Source organism: Homo sapiens, chromosome 13, assembly GCF_000001405.40.
Source record: "Homo sapiens chromosome 13, GRCh38.p14 Primary Assembly".
Lineage (NCBI taxonomy): Eukaryota > Metazoa > Chordata > Mammalia > Primates > Hominidae > Homo > Homo sapiens.
The window spans coordinates 67,709,186-67,734,583 of NC_000013.11; the positions used below are offsets into that span (position 1 = coordinate 67,709,186).

Below are 25,398 nucleotides of genomic sequence, written 5' to 3' on the forward strand. Positions count from 1 at the left end.
GTATTACAATTGCCTGGGCAAGAGATATTTAAAGCATAGAGCAAGTCAATACTAGTAAAACACAAGGAAAAAGGAGATCAGTAGGTATTTAGCAATTAAATGTAAGTAAAAAATGCTTTCTAGGTACAGGTGAAAAGACTTTAGCTGTTTTGTTTTGAGATGCTTTTGAAACATCCAGATGGAGGTATCTTATTTGTAGTTTGTGATAAGTGAAAATATGACCTTCTGACTGCTTAGCTGTTAGGGGATAACTGAAAATTGAAAAATAAACCATGACCTGTACAACGCACCCTGACTTTCAAAGTAAATTAACCAAATAAAACAAAAACATAATAGCTTTCATAAAATATCTAAACTGCTTCTTAAAAAATACCAATTCATTCAGAGCCAGATGGTCCAAAATATTCACAGACAAATTAGTCTAAAATTCACTATGTACAAATGCATGGATTCTGACAAACTGAATATGAAAATGGACAGTGGTCAAGTCATGAATGACTATAGAATGTTAACTCACAAATTCTGCAGCAATCAGCCAAAAATGGTCACTGACTGCCAGCTTCCACAATTTTTGTCCGTACCTCCAAGCAGAGAAAGACAAATATGTTTCCCAAACCAATCATAAAGAATGTCTCACTTCCAGTTACTCTGCCTCTAGCGTTCCCCTGAAAACAATCTCCAATCACAGAACATCTTAAGCCTCCCCCTTCCTATTTTCAAAAGTTTAAAGAAACGCCTTCCCATTTCCCTGCCTATCTCTGAGTCTCCGCAAAACTCAAGTGATGGTGACTGACTCCCTTGTTATAACAAGTTTTGAAAAAACAATCTTTGTTGTTCTCATTTGAGTGGTCTTTATGACTACAGGTTTAAAGGAAAGAACACTGACTTCTGTGATTGGAAATTCTAAACCATACATTTCAATACTCTCCTATAACCCTCTAGCACAAAAACAAAGTATCCTTTCCTAACTTTCCTCCTAGTAAGAGGCCCCACGGGTACTACATTACGGGTTTTTGCTTGTTAAAGCAATGAATATATCTAACTTTGTTGACAATACCTGTGTTCCTGATAGTATTTGTCCGATGGGCATCAACAGTCGAATTAGTTCTATGGAAGAAAATAGAGATATTGGGTGAGAAGGTAAATAGCATAAAGAAGTCAAATGTAGGGATTATTTTAGAAAGTTTAGTTAACATTTCTTGAGTGTTTAGTATGTGTCAGGTGGTATAAAATATCCTTTCTATATATTATCTCATTTAATCACCAAAACCACCCAATGACTGTGGCTCACTACTCTCATTTACATATATGGAAAATGAGAATCCAAAAAGTTTAAGGTACCTAGAAGTTATGAACAAATAGTAATACAGGTGGCTTTTGCACAAGGATTATCAGACTCCATAGAATCTATCCTAAAGACCAAAATGCTTCAGAAAGTCAAAATAAAATGAAATCTGAAAAAAGAACACCTTCTAGTCAGCTGTAGGTCATCAATAAATTTGGTGAGAGTAGTATCAGAAGTATGGTGGTGGCTGAGACCCGGCTGCTGTGGGGGACCCAAGGGAAATGAGAAAGTGAAAGTTACGGATACTAATTAACCTCTCAAGATATCTGGTCAGACAGTAAAAGAAAATGGTGTCTTGATAAGAGACATGACTATAGTTAGTAATTACTGGGTGAGAGGTAACTGAAGATGATTATAAGTAGAAAAATAATGGAACCAGTCAAAATGGAGTAACTGAAGATACTCCTTAACAAAATGAAAGTGTTACATTATTAGAGAGATGGTTTGAAAAAGCCTGTGGAGCAAGGAGGAGTCAACAATTAATAACAGAGTTTTAGTATTTACTCTTGTTAAATAGGAACAAAGCTTAGTCCTTTGTGTGGAAATTTAATTTTTGGAAATACCAAAATACCAGTAGTCAATTTTGGTAAATACGTTTGATGATTTTTATGAATATTATCATTCGAAGTTCAAATCAGATATGATAATAATATTATGATATATGTTACCTTAAGTGATTTTTAATCTTCAGAAGTCCCAGATATTTTTAGTATTTTTACCATTATAGGAGCACTATATACAGTTTCCTAACAAGTGAACAATTAATGTTGATATATAAATTCAAATATATCCACATGCATATATTTAGCAGAAGACTTCAGGAATATTCATGTCACAAGATGCTAAGTAATATAAAATTATATTTATTAATATAAATATATACTGTATATGTAAAATGTATCTTATTTATATGTATCCTGTGTGTGTGTGTGTGTGTGTGTGTGTGTGTATCTCCCAAGACAAAGAACGTTGCATTTATCTTCGTGTAAAGTTGTAACCATTGCAAAGCCATATCTTGAGCCTTGAAATCTTGATATTTAACTTACTTGTGTTTTTTAAAATGAGCAAATACAAATTCTAACATTATTAATATCACTATTTCAACCTACAAATCTATACTGTATAAAGGCTGATGGGGTATGACAAACTGAGATCCAACCTTTTTCTATAAGATCTAGGTGATTATTTTCTTTTTGAAATAGAGACATCAGCATAATGACGTCTGCTTCAAGTTTTCTCGGTTAGGGGGGAATTTGAGTTTCAATCTTTTTGACATTCTTTACAAAATCTCTTGTGCTCATCAAATAGCAGCATTTGTAGGATGTCTAGAATGTGTAAAATTTGAGCAATGATAATTAGAATCTGAAAGGGAAAGTCACCTTTAAAAAAAACAAAAATAATGAGAAAACGTTTTCCTTTTTCATGGCCCAGACCTGATTCTGTTTATACATTCATTGTGAGTATTTATTGTTATTGAACTAAAAAAGCTTACTGCTGATTGAGTTTTTCCTCTCATCTTATTGATTGTAAGGAAAACTTAAAATGACTACTAGGCTGCCAAAAAGTCTTTATTGTTAACTATAATTTGTTAGCATAATAAACTATGAATATTGCAAGCTCCAATTTCCAAAATAAGCATAAAAGATGACTGAATACAAAAAGGCAACTAAATAGAATGATACACTGCACTGATAATTGGAGAAAACACTCTGTTTGAAATGTATTCACTTCAGAATGAGAATAAAATCTTACAAAAGTAGACTGCTTCAGTTTCAAAGGAAATGATTTCAATGGAGCACTTCATATCATAAAACCACCTTGGAATGTACCCCTTATGTCATTCTAAAGTGTCTGATGCATGCTCCAGTCAAAATAACAACTATTTACAGATACTGCCATAGGCCATTTACCCTGCTAAAGAGTTTGATCTCCTTCAAGAGTTTTACATGTCACTCTTATTAACACTTATTTTTTAAATCAATCTCTTTGTACCTATTAGTCAGAGGTATGATGTGGTGAAAAAAAAACGCAGCCATAAGCAGCAACAATAAAACTTGTTTTGTGTGTTAGCATGCTGAAACAACCAAAATAAATCCACTATAAATGTTTTTGCCAAGATAAAAAAAAACCCAATTGTTACAAAATTTATTTTGTGTTTGCAAAATATATTCCTTACTTTGTTGAATCTTATTTTTCAAATGCTATCGTGTGATTTTCAAATAATTTCAGATTTGTAGATGATGATGATGATGATGCTGCTGCTGATGCTGATGCTGATTTGAGATTTAGTATCATACATAGAGGAGGAATAAAAACTGCATTGGCTTTGGTGACAGCTCCCATATGTGAGCTCTAAAAATCCTTGGAGAGCTAACAAACTTTTTTTTGAATGTTAAATATGAGGATCTCAGGGTGCCACCATTCTCTACAGCCCAGTCTTTTAGTGGTAACGTACCACGACGGTAGGAAATAATGTATCCAGAGATGATTATCCCTGGACCTCAAACTTTTCTATGATGATAGAAAACATTTTTTGTTTTAATGCATATTATATCTCTAGTAAATAATGCACCATGCTTACTAGAAGAGAATGTCCCTAAATTATGAAAATCACAGTTAGTGAATTCCTTTAATTATATATTTCCACATAGTTGATTTTATTAAAATTTTCATTTATGAAGGGAAGATTTACAGCAGAAGATGCAGATATAAAAACTTTAGGCAAGTACATCAAGATGCATTAATAATTTTAAAAATAATCAATGTAGTAATAATAAACCTATTTTTATAAATCAGACCAGAAAAATTTGGCTAATTTTCTCAAACTCACACAGCTAACAGGTAAAAGGATTTAAGACAAGGACAAATGTAGGAAATTTTAAAATTTATCTTTGGCTATTTTCTTTCCTTCACTTTTTACCTCCCTTCCCAAATTATTCTGGTCACAGTAACGAAAATGTGGGTTAATACAATTGCATTATTATTTTTGCCACTTTATAGCTCAAATATGATTTTGTGCACCCCAAATCCTGAAACCAAAGTACCGTTTCATGAGAAAATGTGTCTTGAATTCTGAACAATCAATATGCAAACACTTATTGGTCACAGTTCATAGATATGACATGCTATATGCTCTGATTAAAAGATAGACCCAATATAAAATGTTCAATAAGGGAAATGAAATAACCCTGAAAATTACATCATTTAAGAGTGAGTCATCAGCAGGTGTGTTTCACAGGGAATGGATTTTAAGGCTTTCAGCTATAACTTGTTTTATGGCAAGTTGTTAATACTATAAGCATATCAGAGACAATATGATGTTGTCATGAATAAAATCTTAGCAGAATCTTAGCATTCAAATTTCCTGTTCTAAAGCCAGTAAGGAAGATATTTTTCTTTAAAGTATACTAAAGAAAAAGGAGACAGTAAAACTACTTAAGCAGAGAGTAAAAGAATGTTGAAATAAAAGAATACAGATAATGCTTTTGACATAGGGCAGGTATAATCTATTCTAATTTCAAACAATACTCTTTAACTACAATTTATAATTTCACCTAAGATGATTGAATTTATTCTTACATATATTTAGTTTGGCTACAGAATTATGTCTGGAGTCACTCAAATCTCACACAAAAAAACACACATTAAGTCTGATGCAAATAATTAAGTTTTTAAACATATAATATTTGATAAGTTTTCTGAGAATAAATTGTGTCACATGTAAATTTCTTCAAGTTAAACTATTTCAGATTTTATTTGGATAAGTTTCTCCAAATGTTTCTGTAAGTATATCTGCTAATTTCTGGAAACAAAATAAAAAATAAAGAAACATGATTTACTATGAGTTGATAATACAATATAAATTATAATTTGGATTATATAAAGCTATCGATTATCAAAATGACTAACATTTGAAAATAATATACTCTTTCATTTATAGATACCCACGGACTATGCTCTCATATATTTACACTCTTGACATATTATTTTAATAAAATAATAATTAATAATTGTATTTACTATGTGTATTTAAGGTATACAACATGATGTTATGAGATACATATATATAGTAAAATGGTTAACTATAGTAAACAAATTTACATATTTATCATCTCACGTAGCTACCCATTTCCCCTGTGGCAAGAGCAGCTACAATTAACTCATTTAGCAAAAATCCTGAATACAATACACTGTTATTAAATATAGTCCTTATGTTTTGGATTACATCTCTTGGGTATAATACTCAGAAGGAATAAAATCACCACCTCATGAATATAACTGTATACCCATGTTCATTGCAGCATTATTCACAATAGCAAGATATGGAATCAACCTAGATGTCCATCAATGGATAAATGGATAAAGAAACTTCTGTACATTAGGAAATATTATGCACATACATATATATGTGTGTCAATATGACAATATATAATGCATATATATGTATGTCAATGTAATATTATTCAGACTTAAAAAAGAAGAAAAGAAGATTCTGCTACAGGCCACAATATGAATAGACCTGGAAGACATTATGCTAAGAGAAATAAGTGAGACTCAGAAAATATTACAAAAGCCCACATATATGCAGAATCTAAAGGAAAAATTAAGTTAAATACATAGAAATAGAGAACACAGTGGTTGTGTACCACGGTTGGGGTGGTGGAGACGAAGGCAATGGAATGGAGGTCAAAGATTACAAAGTAGCAGATATGAAGAATGAACAATTCTAAATATCTAATGTATGACATTTATTTTATACTTTTATCCCTTAAAATTAGGGACTCTCATAACAGATTTAATTAATATCAAAACAATAAAGTAATCATATACATATTTAAGTAATAGATTGACAAATTATTGACAAAATGATTGCTAACTGTTTAAATATCAGAGTCAATTTTTCAAATTACATATTGAACAACAGGTAGGTTTTAATAACAAAAGCAGTCAGGAGTCAAATGAAATAGAACTGTGGAACTGGTAATTGCAATTTTACCTAAAATAAATAAAGTTAATGTTACATAAAGAAGGAACTGTTTTTTAAACTGCTATGAAGAGATTCCATCCCCTACTTTTTTCTAATGACTTGTTGAATATATTCTCATTAATGCTATCTGTAGCCTAGATGTTGTAAATATTTAGGCTTTAGCCAGAAGTATTCCATTCAGTAGGCCTCCAAAATTCAGCAAGAATATGATATTGATAAATTTAAAATGTAGTAGTTTTCTTATATGTAAAAACTTGACATATATTTTAATTTCACTATTCAAAAGTATTTATAATTGTAATTATCATATATTGATCCATGACTAGAATGCTTGTGAAAGTCACATATATGGAGAATGGCAGGACATCATTGCAGTTTCAAAGAAAAGTTTCAACTAACTATTTCTGGAAGACTCAAGAGAATGCCCCAGAAAACAGCCTATTTATCTACAATGTGATACGTAGTGTTTTTCTCCTGTCTGGTTCTATCTTTTTGTTTTGATATCTGATTCTGAAACTTTAGATACATACAAAGTCAGGTTATTATGTCAAGTTTATGAATTGTCTGCAGTTTTGTCTCCTGATAATACTACCAAAATGTCACTGTGTTGAAGTGTAGAAATAGGACAACTCTGTGATCAGGCTTCTGAGCTCTGCCAACTAGTATCATTCAAGCAGCTAGTCAGTTGACATCCTCACTGGGGTCATGCTATTTTTTTCCATGCAAGTACAGAGGCATTTTTGCCTTACTTCTAATTCACATCTTTGACTCTGAAGGATGTTTTAGAATCTTGCAGAATCGTTGGTGAAACAGTTCTTTCAATTTCATTTGCAGTTCCTTCTCTTTAGGACTCAAACAAGAGGCGGCAGGGCCTGAGTCTGAGGTCAGTCCACAAGGAACCATCATGGATTCCAAATGGTCCCAGCCCCCCAACAATACAAATGAAGCGGTGTCATTGTCTGGGGTAATACCCAAGGTTCATTGTCTCATGCCAAGGAAATCAAGAATGGGGACACGCAGGTAGTGAGTTTAAGAGTGAAGGTTTAGTAGGCAAAAGAAAAAGAATAGAGAATAACTGTCCTGCAGAGAGAGAGAAGCACCAGAGTGGGTCTTCCAGTTTCATGATGAAATGCACAAGGTTTTATAGACAAGCTTGAGGAGGTTGTGTCTGATTTACACAGGGCCTGAGAGATGGATCAGACCAGGTATGAAGTTCGCATAACGTGTAAAGAAGCCAGCCATCTGCCCTAATCTTTTATTATGCGGATGGGGTCTCTACCCAGCCGGTGCCATGTTGTCTTTTCTTACTGTACATGTGGTTGATAAAGAAAAGAGAAGATGGAGCTGCCATGTTGAACATCCCTGGCCTCCAGGTATCTGTCTCCTATTGCCACAGCTGTCAGCATTTACCTATGCAAGTTTTTAGCTTGCTTATCTATGTTTGCAACTCAACTTTATAGGCTGCTCTTTGTTAGAAAAGAAATGATTTGGGGGCTTCTTTTCAATAAAAGGAAAACCTTACCAAGGACTTCCTTACCCTCACTACCTGCCTAAATAATTTCTTTTTAACTCCTATAGCACTGAGGCGTTGCTGTGACATTCAGCTTCTGAGCCTTTCCTCCCTCTTCACTTAGTAAAGCCTTTCCCAAGAAGCAGCTTAGTCTATGATGCAAATAGTTTCCAAATAGACATACCCAACCAGTCTTTTAGACATCTCCAGGCGTGTTGGAACCCTAGGAAAAGCCCTAGTTATGCTCAAATTTGAACTCTACATTAATGGTTTTATTCAGAGAACACGATTTTATTTGTGAGCTGTTAAAGAAAATTTGCATTAAACCATGTTAAATAGTCAAGAAACACTTTAATCAAGATTATTGGTACAAGGGAGAAAGATTGAACTCAACTCTGCTGAAACAATAGTAGGAGAGTTTTTAAGTGTTGGGGTGAACAAGTGGAAATGTACTGGGGAGTATTACAAAAAAGTTGGTCAATGTGATTACATCATCTGTGTTTGCTAATTGTCCCTTATAGAAGTTAGGCTCCTACATTCCTACAGAGACTGAGAGGGCACTATCTTTATTGATAGTTGCATCTCAAAAACATGGCATCAAGGCCCTTGACAAAGACATTCCTGAGTTAAAAAACTGATGAGTTTGGGAAAAGTTTTACATCTCAAAGAGACAGAAAAATATTTACAATTGTAAGTTTTCTATAGTAAATGCTCTAAGAAAATAGAAATCTGGGTCTGTAGTCAGGAAGAAACCTGTCTAATGTTTAGTGAAGCTGAGAATTATTGAGGCCGTACTGATCAAAGCTAGTATCTGGTCTCTCCAAATTTGTTCACCACAGCAACCTAAAGAGAAGTCTTAAGATTAAAGCAAAAGTAATAGCAATGATAGTGATAATGGAAAGGCTGATTTATTGATTTCTTTGTATTAAGCATTGCACTAAGCTGTTTACATGGATTCTTTAATGTATTATTTAAAATAAATCATTGAGGTAGTGAGTATTTTAATTCCCATTTTCCAATAGAAATACTGAATTTAAAAAATTCATCCACATTCACTAAAACGTAGGTGTCAGAGCCAAGGTTCAAACCCAGGTATTTGATACCAGAGCTAATGGAACATGTATTATCAGTTGTACATTCGCCACATACACCTAGTTCTGGTAAACCAGTCTAGGTCAAATGAAGCTGGAAAGAGTCAATTAAAGTTTACTTAATATAAGACATTTCTATTCTGCCTTCACATTTTTTTCCATATCAATTTTTCAGTTGGTAGTTATATTATTATTAACTTATTTGGACAATCTATTCACTTCTTTCTCTCTGTCAACTTACTCTCAGGATTCTATTCATCAAAGAAGAGTATTTTTGCCTAATTTGTTTCCTGTTTGAAATGTTAATATTATAGGTACCTAAATAAACATAAAATAGGATCAGCGAATGACCTACTAGAGGTAAGTGTACAAGACTTAAAGAAATAATGGTCTGGGATATGTCTACCTGATTCTTATAACTCTAAAAATAGATCTAACAGCATTCCGTGTCAGTCTTCTCAGATCCTCATCCTATACTTAAATGTCTTGATCTCAATAATTTGAAACTGAGAAAATATAAAACTGTAGAAAAGAACATAAGTGAAAAAGACTGTTGTCTATAGCAACTAACAGTAATAATATTATTAAACCATAAGCTAAATGTAGGTGTAATTCAGTGCCAAAAATCTTTCTAAAATTTAGGTTGTGTACAGTGTAGTATTTAGAATAAGAAAAAAATAAATGCAGACTTGAAAGATGGGAGTGGAAGACAATTTATAACTATCTTTAAATGTTTAACTATTTGTTACGTGAAAGCAATTACATTAATAATATAGATCTAAACATATCAGAAGAAAAAATAAATATGCTAACTACAGAATATTTGATTTCTACTAAAACCAAAGGCTTAAAAATTGATTCATTGTCTAAAAATACAAATAGTTATCTTTGGGAGATAGACATGTCTCTATTATTAGAGGTATTCATACTTAATTTTGACCACAGATTATAGGATAGAATGGAAAATAGACTAGAGAAGTACCTAAATGTGTTCTTTTAGGTTTATAATTTGTTCGTTCTGTGATTCACACTGTCTTGCTCAACTATTCAAGTTACTTCTATTATATTTTGTTCTTTTCAGGAAGGTATCAACCAAATAAACTTTGAGCAATTCTATGGGACAAGAATTGGAATAACATTGGGATTGGGAATAGGGGCAAAAAGTAAAGTATTATAGAATCTAGAATGATTTATATTGAATTAGAAGAGATTAGAGTATGATATCCACCATCAAAGCAAAAAAAAAAGGACTGCTCTGTGGAACAGGAGGCTTATCCATCACTCTAGGAGTAAGAACTAGAAGGGACATTTAATTCAACTTGTAATAATGTTTCATTATTGGAGGTGTTTTTGTTATGTTTCATTTTGTTTTTAAAGAATGAGATGACATGTGAAAGACCACATTACTTATTATTAGAAGGTTTTAAGGAAAGGATGAGTGAGATACTTTATGAATTTTGTGTCAGAATTTTGCCATTTGGTGGAATATTGAACTGGATGATGTCTAAGTTTCCTCCAATATCAGAATTCAAATTTCATGATCTTTTAGTTTATAGAAATGGATATGTTGCAGATATTACATATACCACCTGATGAGAGACTTTCCGTATGTCATCATTTTTCAAAACACCATCTGCCATAAGATTCTATTACTATGTAGCCAATGATATACCAACATGAAAATTAGTATACCACCTGGCTTACATAGTTTTTGAATGAACGTTTCAATACTTCGTCATGAGGCAAACGCAATGACTCAGTTGTGCTAGACAGCCACAGTCCATTATGTAAGTAACTGTGTTAAGCTTAACTACTGCTTTTATTAAACATAAAAACAACCAGGTATGATTCTCATTAGTTCCCTGACCAATAAAGTGTAAAGACCACCTGAAAGCCCAAGTATTATTACTCTGTTATTTGTTTACCACCACTTTAAATATATTAAGTAATACAGTTATTATGTGAATTGGCTCTAATATTCCTTTTGAATTTGTATAGTTTCAGTTAATGACTATAAAGTCCTACTGTTAGGTTTAGTCATTATAATTCATTAGGTAACATTTGTTTATATTATTAAATCAAAATTTTAAAAGTATTTAAAATAGTCAAATTTTTAATATGAGTTGGATGGTAGTGACGTACTATAAATAAATTTTAAGAATAAATCATATTTCAGTGTTCTTATACATAATTTCTTGAGATTACATAGTCAAATAGCTTCATAATGGCAAGAAAACGTAAGTAAACACATTGTAAAGTTGAATGCAATTTGGCTTGAAATGTTATATTTTAATAGAAATATCATGTTTGTCACATTTTCAACTTAAGCTTTTGACACTTTGTCACTATGAAGCAGACACGCAAATATAATAAAGTTGAGAAAATTTTAATGTAGGGTGCTAACAATGACAAAATTGTGCTTTTTGAGGTGATAAACTCTTTGAAAGTTACAATCGCCAGATTAGTTGTGTAAATTTTATCTCTAACAGCATTTCACAGGAATGAAGTAGTGACAATAATCACAGCTAGCTCTTACTGAGTGTTTATTATGTGATAGTCACTATATATAGCACTATACACATATTATCACATTCCCCAAGATAATTTATAAAGAAATTATTTCTTTCAATTTTTGCTACCTCCCCCAACTGCTTTATGTATGAGAATATTGAGGTTAACACAGGTAAACAGAATTATTGTGTTATGGGGCAAGCAGGGAAGTTGATTTTGAATAATTGTATTATAAAGTGAAAGAGTTTGAGATAAGGAAGAATGGCGATTAACTAAAGTTAGACAGAAAGGTAGGTAGGGCCAGATAATAATGGGCTCATATACCGTGGTAAAAATGTCAGCTATCATTCTGCAGATGATGAAAAGCTATTTTAGGGATGTGAAAAAATGGAGTTGTAGGATTAGATTTTAATGAACAAGACAAATCGAGTCCATAATATTAAAAAATGATAAGTTCCATGAAGAAAATAAAGCAGGCAATAGTAGAGAGAGTGACAAATGGTGATGACATCAGGGAACATAATTTGGATATTGTAGTGAAGAAGGAATCTTTGAAGAGGTGACATTTTAGCAGAGACTTTAATGATGAGAGACATTTGAGCTGAGAACTGAATATTGGGAAGGAATAAGTCACCTAAAAATTTCGTTCAATAAAGTTGTAAGTAGAGGTCAAGGTCAAGGGCAAGATCAAATATGCTGAAACTAAGAAAAGGTTAGTGTACTTTAAGAACAAGCAGATGCCCAGTACACACAAAAGACAATGAAAGAGAGGAAATATAATATGATGTGATGTCTGAGAGGAAGGAGAAGGTAGGTCATGTATATGTTCTTGTAGACACCCTAGCAGCATGGAGTTTGGAGTGAAAAACACTGGCGATGATGGTTTCTCAATGGCTCCACTTTCCTCAGCCACTAGGTATTATGATAAAACTCATCAATCAGAAGTAACACAGGGAGAAGAGCAGATTAGATCCATGATGATATTTGTAGGTTAACAACAAAGAAAATGAGTTGTTTTGAATATATTGAATTTTAAGTGCAACTGAGGCAATTAGCTGGAGATCTTCTAAGGAGAAATTACATACTTTGTAGGTCTGTATCACAAGGAATGAAGTATGAAATTTTGGAATTGTAAGCAAATACCCAAGGAATGAGGTCTGAGGGTGACACTTTCAGGGATCCAATTGTAAGGAATATCAAAAGAAATGAAGTGTTAACTGTCGAAGGAGGTAAAAAAAAATAACTAGAGTGTGCAGAGTGAAGAAATACTGAAAACAAATACATTTTAAAAAATATAAAAGGTGTTAAAAGCTAAAGAAATTTTAAATTAGATAAGGCAAATATTATTTGCCAATTTTGGTAATGGAAAGAGGATCAGGAGTGAGTTTAGGTATTTTATGAAGGTACAGTCATTAATAATAATCTAAAATATCACTTCTTCAGAAAATTTTCAGAACTTTTTAAAATTCATAGGGAAATCCAGAAGATTTCTGTGTCTGTTTCATCTAAGACAGAGAACATGGGATAGATATGGAGAGAGCTGCTTCCTGGCCTTCGGAATGTAGCAAGCCTGCTTCTGCATGATGGTATAGAGATTATGAAAACTAAAAGGATGTCAATATATGTCTTAAGTATAATTAGTAGTCTCACTCTGCTTGCTTGCTTAAACCATGTATATATATACACACACATACACACATGTGAGTGCGCACACACACACACACAAACACACATATATATATTTTTTCCACTCTCCCTTCTACTCCCACTTCTTCTATTTCAGTAATTCTCTAGCTTTATATTTTGTTGTCAATCTAAATACCTGTTATGGGCTGAATTTTTCCCTTCAAAATTCATATATTAAAGCCTTAAACCCTGATACTGCACAATGTTACCCAATTTTGAGCTAGGGCCTTTAAAGATGTGATTATGTTAAAATAAAGCCATTAGGGTGGGACCTAAACCTCTCTCTCTGATATCCTAATAAGAAGAGACAACGGAGAGACACCAGGGATGCATGCACAGGGGACAGGCCACTTGAAGAGGCAGCACAAGAGGGTGGCCATCTGCAAGCCAAAGAGAGAGGCCTCAGAGGAAATCGACTTTGCTGGCTCCTTGGAATTCAAGGCTCCAGAACTGTAAGAAAATAAATTTTTCTTGTTTCAGTCACTCAGCCTATAGCATTCTGTTATGGCAGCCCTGGAAAACTAGTACAGTGTCCTTCCTTGTTTGTGTGATTTTTTGTATTATTGTCTCTGGTTTCAGCCCATATTTTTCCCCACTTGCCTCCCTCTTCTGTGTTTTCTATTCTGCATGTTAGTTAATTCTGATAATCCTAAATATTTGCAGTAATTTTTATATATTTTCTAAATTTTTCATTTATATTTGTGGTTACATAGTAGGTATATATATTTATAGGGTACATGAGACATTTTGATAAAGGCAGGCAATGTGAAATAAGCACATCCTGAAGAATGGGGTATCCATCCCCTTAATCATTTTGTGCCCATTAACCATCCCCACCTTCTTATCCAGTCCCCTACTACCCTTCCCAGGTTTTGGTAACCATCCTTCTACTCTATATCCATGAGTTCAATTGTTTTGGTTTTTAGACCCCACATGTAAGTGAAAATGTGTGACGTTTGTCTTTCTATGCCTGGTTTATTTCACTTAACATAATAATCTCCTGTTCCATTCATGTTGTTGCAAATGACTAGAACTCATTCTTTTTTATGGCTGAATAGTACTCCATTCTGTATATGTACCCCATTTTCTTTATCCATTCATCTGTTGATGGAAACTTCAGTTGCTTCCAAATCTTGGCTATTGTGAATAGTGCTGCCACAAACATGGGAGTGCAGATCTGTCTTCAATATGCTGATTTTCTCTTTCTTTCTTTCTTTTTCTTTTCCTTCCTTCCTTTCTTCCTTCCTTCCTTCCTTCTTTTCTATCCTTTCCTTTCCTTTCCTTTTCCTTTACTTTTCTTTCTTTTTCTTTTTCTTTTTTGTAGAGATTGGGTTTTGACAAGTTGGCCAGGCTGGTCTTCAACTCCTGGCCTCAAGTGATCCACCCACTTGGGCCTCCCAAAGTGCTAGGATTACAGGTGTGAGCCACCACACCTGGTGATTTTATTTCTTTTAGTTATATACCCAGCAATTGGGATTGCTGGATCACATGGTAGCTCTATTTTCAGTTTTTTGAGATACCCCCAAACTGTTCTCCATAGTGGTTGTACTAATTTACATTCCCTTCAATAGCATACCAGAGCTCCCCTTTCTCCACATCCTTGCCAGGATTTATTATTGCCAATCTTTTGGATATAAGCCATTTTATCTGGAGTGAGAAGATATCTCATTGTAGTCCTAATTTTCATTTTTCTGGTGATCAATGATAGTGATCACCTTTACATATGCCTGTTTGCTACTTGTCTTCTTTTGATAAATGTATATTCAAATCTTTTGACTGTCTTTTGACCAGATTATTAGTTTTTGGTTTTTTTTTTCTATAGAGTAGTTTGAGCTCCTTATATATTCTGGTTATTAATCTCTTGTCAGATGGGTAGTTTGCAAATATTTTCTCCCATTCTGTGGTTTGTCTCTTGACTTTGTTGATTGTTTCCTTTGCTGCGCAGAAGTTTTTTAACTTGATGTGATCCCATTTGTCAATGTTTGCTTTGGTTGCCTATGCTTGTGGGGTATTGTTCAAGAAATGTTTGCACAGAACAATGTCTGGAGACTTTCCCCAATGTTTTGTAGTGTGTTCATGGTTTAAGTTCTTAGATTTAAGTCTTTAATCCATTTCTATTTTATTTTTGTATATGGTGAGAAATAGGGGTCTAGTTTTATTCTTCTGCACATGGATATCCAATTTTCCCAGAAACATTTCTTGAATAGACTATCTTTCCCCAATGTATGCTCTTGGAACCTTTGTCAAAAATGAGTTCACCTTAGGTGTATGGATTTGTCTCTGACTTCTCTGTTCTGTTCCATTGTCTGTCTGTTTTTATGCCAGTACCACACTGTTTTGATTACTATAACTCTGTAGTATAATTTAAAGTTAGGCAATGTGATTCTTCCAGTTTTGTTCCTCTTTACTTAGAATAGCTCTGGCTATTCTGAGTCTTTTGCACTTTCATATAAATTTTATGGGGTTTTTTTCCATTTCTGTGACGAATGTCATGGTATTTTGATAGAGATTGCATTGAATCTGTAGATTGCTGTGGGTAGATGGACATTTTAACAATATCTATTTTTCAATCCATGAACCTGGAATATTTTTCCTTTTCTTATCTTCTTAAATTTCTTTCATCAGTGTTTTATAGCTTAAGTCATGAAGATCTCTCACTTACTTGGTTAAGTTAATTTCTAGATATTTAATTTTATGTATGCCTATTGTAAATGGGATTTTTAAATTTCCTTTTCACATTGTTCACCGTTGGCATATAGAAATGCTATTGATTTTTGTATTTTGGTTTTGTATCCTGCAACTTTACTGAATTTGTTTAGCAGTTCTAATAGCTTTCTTGTGGAGTCTTCAGGATTTTTCAAATATAAGACCATATCACCTGCAAACAAGGATGAGAAACTATAAGAAAAGACAAAGAAAAACTGAAAGTCTTTCCTCTAATATCTTTCAGTTTTTCTTCATTTAGTATAATACTAGATGTGTATCTGTCATATATGGCTTTATTATTTTAAAATATGTTTCCTGTATGCCAAGTTTTCTGAGGGTTTTTAACATTAAGGGATGTTGAATTTTATCAAATTCTTTTTCAGCATCAATTAAAATGATTATATGGTTTTTATTCTTTATTCTGATAATGTATCACATGTATTGATTTGCATACATTGAACCATCCTTGCATCTCAGGGATAAACCCCACTTGGCCATGATAAATGATCTTTCTAATGTATTGTTGAATTCAGTTTGCTAGAATTTTGTTGAGGATTTTTGCATCAGTATTCATCAGCAACATTGGCCTGTAGTATTCTTTTTTTTTGATGTGTCTTTGGTTTCGTTATCAGGGTAATACTTGCCTCATAGAATGTGTTTGGGAATATGCCCTTTTCCTCTGTTTTGTGGAATAGTTTGAGTAGGATTGGTATTATTAGTTCTTCTTTAAATGTTTGGTAGAATTCAGCAGTGAAGCCATTGGGTCTGAGGGTTTTTTTGTTTTGTTTTGTTTTGAGACAGAGTCTTGCCTGTTACCCAGGCTGGAGTGCAATGGGGTGATCTCAGCTCACTGCAATCTCCACCTCCCAGGTTCAAGCAATTCTCTCTTTGGCTGGCTGTAATAATATTTCATTTATATTATGCTCCAGTTTGCGGTACATATATATATTTAAAATTTTTGTATCCTCTTGCTGAATTGACCCTTTCATCATTCTATGGTAATCTTCTTTGTCTTTTCTTATAGTTTCTGTCTTGGAATTTATCTTGTCAAAGTATAGTGACTCCTGCTCTTTTTTGATTTCCGGTGGTATGGTATATCTTATGCCATCTCTTTATTTTCAGTCTATTTGTGTCTTTATAGATGAAGTCTGTTCCTTGTAGACAACAGATCAATGGGTCTGGTATTTTCATCCATTCAGCCAGTCTATGTCTTTTTATTAATCAGTTTAATCCATTTCCAATCAATGTTATTATTGATAAGTAATGACTTAAACCTGACCTTTTTTGTTATTTGTTTTCGGGTTATTTTGTAGTTTTCTCTTCCTTCTTTCTTTCATTCTTCTCTTCCTTCAGTGAAGGTGATTTTCTCTGATATGATTTAGTTTCTTGCTTTTAATTTTTTGTGTATTCATTGTATGTTTTTTGGTTTGAGGTTACCATAAAGCTTGCAAATACTATCTTTTAAACTATTATTTTAACCTGATAATAACAACACTATTTGCCTAAACAAATAAGCCAAAGGAAAACTAATAAAAGCTTGCCTTAACTTTGTCCCTCTGCTTCTTAACTTTATGTTGTTTCTATTTATATCTTATTATACTATGTCTTGAAACGTTGCTTTAGTTATTATTTTTGATTGGATCATCGTTTCACCTTTCTACTTAGGATGAAAGTTATCCTAAGTAGAAAGTAATACCACAGTTACAGGGTTATAATGTTATGTGTTTTTCTGTGTACTATTACCAGTAAGTTTTATACCTTCAGGGTATTATTTATTGCTCATTAATATCTTTTTCTTTCTCATCGAAGTAGTCCATTTAGCATTTCTTTAGGATGAGTCTGGTATTCATAAAATCCTTCAGCTTTTGTTTGTCTGGGAAAGTCTTTATTTCTTCTTCATGTTTAAAGGATATTTTTGCCAAATATGGTACTCTAGGGTAATTTTTTTCCTTCAGTACTTTAAATATGTTACATTATTCTCTCCTGACCTGTAAGGTTTTCATTAAAAAGTCTGCTGCCAGACATATTGAAGCTCCTTTTCACCACTATGACTGTGCTGGATCAGACCTGAAGCCAGCACAGTTCTGGGTCTTGCCCAAGGCCTGCTGTAACCACTCCCTGGCTACTGCCTATGTTTGTTCAAGGCCATAGCGTTATGCAATCAGCAGGTGGCAAAGCGAGCCAGGCCTGTGTCTTTCCCTTGAGGGCAGCAAGGTTGTCAAGGCCCCAGGTGGGTCCAGAGTGCCTTCCAGGAGTCAGGGAATAGAGCCATAAACCTTACACGTCTACCTGATTGTGTTAGGCCATTTTCACACTGCTATAAAGAACTATTTGAGACTGAGTCATTTATAAAGAAAAGAGCATTAAATGACTCACAGTTCTGCATGGCTGGGGAGGCTTCAGGAAACTTACAATCATGGTGGAAGGTGAAGAGGAAACAAGGCACATCTTACATGGTGGCAAGGGAGAGAGTGAGAGCAAGGGGATAACTTCCAAACACTTTTAAACCATCAGATCTCGTGAGAACTCACTCACATCATGAGAAAAGCATGAGGGAAACCATCCCCATAAACCAATCACCTCCTAACAGGCTCCTCCCTCAACATATGGGGAATATAATTTGAGATGACATTTAGGTGGGGACACAGAGCCAAACCATTTCACTGGTATTCTGTTGTATTGTGACTGAGCTGCACTCAAACCACAAAAACAAACAAACAAACAAACAAAAAAACCACTCTTCCCTCCCTTTTCCAAAGGCATGGGAGCATCACGCCATAGCCACTGACACTCATGGCCATGAGGACTATGGCCAGACTACCACCACTGTTTCTTTAAGGCCCAAGGTCTCTTATGTCAGCTGGTGGTAAATGCTGCCTGGCCTGGGACTCACCCTTCAGGCCTGTGGGTTTTCCTCTGGCCCAGGGCAGGTCCAGAAATGCCGTCTAAGAGTTGAGTCCTGGAGTCGGGTACCCCAAGAGCCTGGTGAGTGCTCTACCTTCCTGTGATTGTGTTGGTACCTAAGGTACAAGACAAAGTCTCCTTTACTTTTCCCTCTGCTTTTCTCAAGCAGAAGGAGTTTTGTCCCATAGCAAGCACAGCTGGGAATGTGCTGAGTCTCACTTGAAGCGAGCAAGTCTTAGAGGCTTACCAAGGTCCTTGTGGTACCTGGGTATTACTGCTGGTTATTCAGGGCCCAAGGGCTCTTCTATTAGCAGGTGATGAATGTTTCCAGGACTGGATCTTTTCTTTCAAGGCAGTGGATTCCCTTCTCACCCAGGGTGTGTTTGGAAATGTCATCTGGCAGCTAGGGCCTATAACAGGGGCCTCATGACTGATCAGTGCCCTGTTTGCTGTGGGTTAGCTGGTATCCAAGATGCAAGACAAAGTTCTCTCCAGTCTTCCCTCTCCTCTCTTTAAGTGTAAAGAAAGGGTCAATTTTGGAGCCATAGACTCTGCAGTCTGGGGTTAGGGGAAGGGTGATGCCAGCACTTCCTTGGCTGCCCCAGCTGGTGTCTCAGTATGTCATGTGTCCCCCGAGTCCACTGTTTCTGGGTCTAGACTTACCTAAGAATTGTTGCAAGTTTCAAGTTTACTTAGAGACTAGAAGCACTTTGGCTCTGGGTTTGCAGGCACTCAAATTCAGACCAATGGGATTAGCAAAGTCTCTCTGACTAGGGCTGTTTTAAATGTTTCCTGTGCGTGCGGACATCAGCTATGTTTGGTCTGGTTTTTCTTTCTGCTCTAACAGGACAGCGGTAAGTTCAATGCCTCACAATTGTTTTGCTCTCCCTCTCCCAGTGCCAGAAATGCTCTCCACACCATGTCCCACCTGCAGAGGAAGAGGTGAGAGAGGAGTGGTGCTGAGAATTCAAAACTGTTTTTTTTTTTAATCTCTTCAGTGTTTCAGCAATATGTAGTTAAAACCAAGAACTACGAATGCTCACCTGATTTTCGTTCTTATGAAGCTGTTTTTCTGTGTAGGTAGTCGTTAACTTGATGTCCTTATTGGAGGGACAATTATTCTGCCATCTTGCTCCACCTTCTTCTCTGAATCTGCACTGGTGTTTTGAGAAATACAGATTTTAAGTCCCTGATGTCATCTGAAGGTAACCATCCATAAATATTTTAGATATTGACTATATTGACTATATTATGGTAATAATTCCATGCTGATAAAATCTACTGATTTATGTATTTAGATATGGCAATGTAGGGAATAGGCTACGTGACTGAAGAGGTATCCAACCTGGGAAGAAGCCAAATGCAATAAAGTAATATTAAATAAGAATGAATGTAAAACCTTACATTTAAGTCTCAAAACTGAATTTCTAATATAAAGGAGAGAGGATACAACCAAAACACCACATGTGATGCAAAAAAAAAAAACAAAACAAAAAACTAAAACAGACTTGGACATTTTAATTAACTGTCATTGAAATATTTATCAATGCTGTTAAGTTTGCAATAAAGGTTGATATAAACTTAGATGCAAGAAAAGTAATTTTCTCAGCATTTTCTAGGCTGCTCATGCTGTACTTAAATAATTCTAGCTTTCAGACTTTAAGAGAGATATTAACTAACCTGATGAGGTCGAGATGACAGGCCTACTGGTACTAGGAGGTACGGCTTTAACATGAATTTTGGATGGACAAAATTCAGCCCGTAATAAGTCCTAAGGTGGACAACAGAATGTGAAGCTAGAGAATTACAGAAATAAAATAAGGTAGAGAAGAAGAATAAAAAGAGAGGGAGAGATTAATGGCTTGAGCAAGCAAGCAGTCAGAAGACTAATTGAGTAGACTCAATACCATTGTATGCAAGGAAAGATCTAGGGTAATTTTGTATTAAAGATGAAAAAAATAAAGTATCTCCATAACAGGTATCTTGAAATATTTAAGGGTCTTTATTCAAGAAAGAAATCCAATTTTTTTTTCTAAGCAGTCATAAAACAAATCTTTAGACCTATAGGGAAATCTTATTATAGTAGAATGGTATATTTAAGAGTTTATTAAGAAATATTTCCAGCACTTTGGGAGGCTGAGGTGGGCGGATCACTTGAGGCCAGGAGTTCAAGACAAGCCTGGCCAACATGGTGAAACCCTGCCTCTACTAAAAATACAAAATTAGCTGGAAATGGTGGCGCACACCTGTAATTCCAGCTACTCAATCACTTGAGCCTGGGAGGCAGAGGCTGCAGTGAGCGAACTGAGATCACACCACTGCAGAGTCTAGCCTGGGTGACAGAGGGAGACCCTGTCTCAAAAAAAAAAGACATTTGCTTAAAGAATAAAATGGTCGAAGGAGTTAAGAAGTAAGAATTTTTTCCACTGGCAGGACTCAAATTGTCATTGGACAACATTGTTGCTCAGTTTCAAAGGTACATTGAAACATCCACTGAGGATTTTAAATTATGCAGCACGACACGAGTGATTTTGTGGAGTTGCTTAACAAACTATACACTACCACAGAAGCAATACGAAATGGGCAAGTAATTTGAGTTCTTATTTCTCAAATTTGTCTTATTTAAAACATAACAGGCTAGATTTTATATGCATTGCATATCAGGCTTCTGAATATGACTATATCACACTTGCTTCTCTTCCTCAGACTTCATACATTATTGTATCTCTCAGGATTTGGGTGACAAAACAGAAGCTACCACTCTCAAGTATTTCGGGCAGAAGGGATTTTTTTTTTTTTTTTTTTTTTTTTTTTGTGAGGGACTAGGTTACAACATTGTAGGAAGAACTGAAATACTTAAAAAGGGAGGGTAGTCAATGGGAAACTGCTATACTCCTGAAGGAGCAGAAATTTGTCTGGTGCAGTTGCCAAAGGAACCCAAGCTTATATTTTGTGCCTTCAAAAGCTCTACTTCTTTTCTACTGCTGCCTGCTCTTGTCACCAGTATTGGGGATCTCCCACTGCCAAAACATACCAAAACTGTGATGGCAAAGATGCTGGAAAATGACATTTCTGGGGTTATAACACCTGCAATACAGAAAAGAGCATTGAGAAAGGGAAGAATTGTGCTGAAAGGCCAGGAAATAATATGGTTTCAATCCTACCTCCTAATCTCAATTGACACAATTTTATCTATCATGGTGAAAACAAAAGTAATCAGATATGAACTACTTTATATGCCTACCAAAAATGCATCAACCTATGACCATCCTTATTCATGATCTTCCATTCCTTCTTTTTACAGTGTAAGAACCATCCTAGATATAATTTTAGCTCAATTCCTTCTCTGCTGCCATACAGCACAGCCTCCTTCAATTATCCCCATTATCAATATTTTAATTCCTCTTTACTGAGTTATTCTCATATGGAATACAACATACGGTAAAATTTCCTATATGAACAATGTCCTTTCATACTAGATCCCTTCTTTGCCTACCACTATATACCTTTGTACTCCTGTATTTAAAAAAAAAAGTTCATAAAAAAGTTAACTATAGAAATTATATCCATGTCCTCATTTCACATCCTCTTCTTAATCTTCTATAATCACCCTTCCATTCTATCAAAATCAAAGAACTCTATGTTTCCAAATTCAAAAGTTAATTCTTGGTTTTTATTCTTAATCTACCATGAGCATTAGAAACAGCTAACTCTTTTCTTTTTAAAAAATCTTTATTCTCCTGGCTTTCTTCACACCAAATTCACAATTTAAACTGTTATATTTCTTGCACTTTGACCCCAATTTTTGTACTGAGTTTTTTTCTTTTGATCCTTAAATGTTGTATGTGTCATTCTGGTGCTCCTTCTATTTTCCATCCTAGTATAAATTTGATTTTATCTCATCTAGCCCCACATCTTCCAATACAATCACAATCTATGTCTCTGACACAGATCTCTTTGGAACTGCAGATGGATAACAAATATCTTATGCAACTCCCCTACTATGATATAAAGCAGGCTTTTCTGGCTCAATATTATTAACAGAAAACCCCTGATTTCTAAATTGCTCATGTCAAAACCATATGTTATTATTTGTGTATAGTTCTCATCCCTACTTCATTTCATCAGGAAATCCTATTACCGCTATGTCTTAAAAACAAATCTCGAAGTGGTTCAATTTTCTCCATCTCTACAAAACACTTATTCTGCACCAAACTCAACTATAGCCTCAGAAATTGTAATAGCTTTCTAACTTCTCTCTGCTTCTCCTCTTGGCACCAGCAGTCTGTTCTCCACCTAACCCCCTACAACTCTACATAGCAGCCCCAGCAAATAACCTCAAATTCAATCAGACCACTTTGCTTGCTTACTTTAATCCAGTGGCTTTCCATTTTAACTGAATTAAAATTCTGTCGGCTATCCTGATATACTAATTACTACATGAATTAACTTTTATCTATCTGACTAAACTCCTCTACAGCTACTCTCGCATTTGTCTGGTAATTCCAAGGAACAGATCTGCTTTCTGTTTCTTGAATCTACGAAGCTTGTTTTAGCTTCAGGGCCTTTGCTCTAGCTGGCCCCTCTGCCTGGAAGGTGCTCCCAGCCCACTGAGCTCCTTGTCTGGTAATTCCAAGGAACAGATCTGCTTTCTGTTTCTTGAATCTACCAAGCTTGTTTTAGTTTCAGGGCCTTTGCTCTAGCTGGCCCCTCTGCCTGGAAGGTGCTCCCAGCCCACTGAGCCCCTGAACTTTCATCTCCTCTGCTGGGGAGGTCTCCCTGAAACCCAAACTAAAGTAACTAACCGGTCACTTCTCTCTGTTATTAGTTTTTAATTTTCTGTTTAGCATGTATTCATGGCTAATTATCTGGTATATTTACTGAGTTTTCCTCTTTCTACCAAAATGTAAACTTGTTAAGTACAGACACTTTGCCTGTCCTGTTCACTGTTAACTATTCAGTGTCTGAAAAAGTGCCTGACACTTCAATTTGGCTTAAAAATATATGCTGAATGAATGAATTACAAGAGTTTATGTGAAGAATTAATTACGTATCTAAAATATTCTATAAATTTATTATTCTCACTGTTTTAATTTAGACAGTTTATCAGAAAACGTTTTGTCTCTATTTCCAGATAGTAAATATTTTAGGCTCTGTGGCCCATATAATTTTTGTTGTAATTGTTCAGTTTCAGCATTGTATTGCAAAAGTTGCCATGGACAATATGTGAATGAATAGACATGGATGTGTTCCAGTAAAACCTTATTTACAAATGTTGCTGACAGGCCAGATTTAGCCCATGAGCTCTAGTTTGCTGATAACTGATCTGGATTTGTAAATCATATGTAAAATTATGTCAGGTGGGCCGATGATTTAAGTGAGTCTGAGAAAATTCTACTTTTTAATGTTTTCCCAATAATGTTTATTTTCATTTTTAAAATTTTATCTATCCTTTAGAGCTACTGCTCCAGTTTTAGATATTCACTTCAATGTTTCTGTGCATTTGATTTTTAAAGTTGGGAAAGATTACACCTTCTTCTCTGAGCATTTGGGTGTATAGTAGTGAATGGTGATTAATATTTATCGGGCTTTCATTATTTGCAATCAATTTTACTCTTTCTCTTGACAGCTTTTTCTTCCACTCCCCTGAAAAACAATACAAAAACATTTTCACCCTTCTCATATATCTCACGTCTCTTCCCACTCTCTTGTCAGAAGAGTTTTGTTTTCATCGTAGACAAAAATGGAAGTCATCAAATGACCATTTCTTAGTCTCCTTGATGCCAATTTAGAATCATTTTTCATCTGTGATTATCCTTCTATCCTGATACAATTAGACAAAAGTGTTCCTTCAAAGTCTTGTGCATTACCTTTGTTTCACTTCTTTTCCTTCTCACATATTAAAACCTTGTACTGTTGGTTATTCTCTAACTCTCATCCATGTTCAACATTTTCCCCTCTACTGTATCTTTTCATTGACACACATTCTGATTTATCACATCAGTCAATAGATAAATAAAATTAATAAATAACAAATTAATTACACATTAAAATTAATACTATTAGTAATAAATTAACAAAAACAAGTAAAACAGAAATCATTCATCCATATACAGTCGTCCATCTATTCCACACACAGCTCTACTTTTCCCTTCCTCTTGCCTTTTATTTAGTATTAACTTTCTCAGAAGAACTTTCCAAAGTCCTAATAAAAGTTTATCTTCTGTAATTAACTTCTGAACATATTGCAATTTATATATCTCTGTTAAAGTCATCAATGACACCCATGTTGATATATTTAATAAGTGTATTTTAGCTTAAAACCTGTATTTTCCTCAACTTACTTGACTCTTTCCATGTTTAGAACATTTTTGCAGGCCCCATTTATCCCAGATGGAAAATTCCAGTCCACTCTAAGTAAAAGCAAAATTACCAGAAGTAACAACTTGTGCCTTTCTCAAGGAAACTGAAGAGGTGCTTTCGTTTTGCTCAAATCAACAACTGTTCTATTTTGCTGAAAACTTGAATGTCAGGATACTGAAAACCTGGCAGTTTCTTTTCCCGGAATCACTACCACTTGTCCCAAGCATGGCTTCATCAGCAAAATCCCTATAAATCCCCTATCCAGTTTAATCTCTTTGAAACTGTTTCTTCAGAG

General features: G+C 34.6%; 1 long non-coding RNA gene across 1 annotated transcript; it reads right to left on the reverse strand.

Annotated features, from left to right (window-relative positions):
• Positions 1-1,031: 1,031 nt before the first annotated feature.
• LOC107984622 (uncharacterized) lies at positions 1,032-25,170 on the reverse strand. The gene is made up of 3 exons (XR_001749894.1): positions 25,085-25,170; positions 19,784-19,897; positions 1,032-1,107 (listed from the first exon to the last, which is right to left on the reverse strand). It is a non-coding gene; the product is annotated as an uncharacterized LOC107984622 (long non-coding RNA).
• Positions 25,171-25,398: the final 228 nt, after the last annotated feature.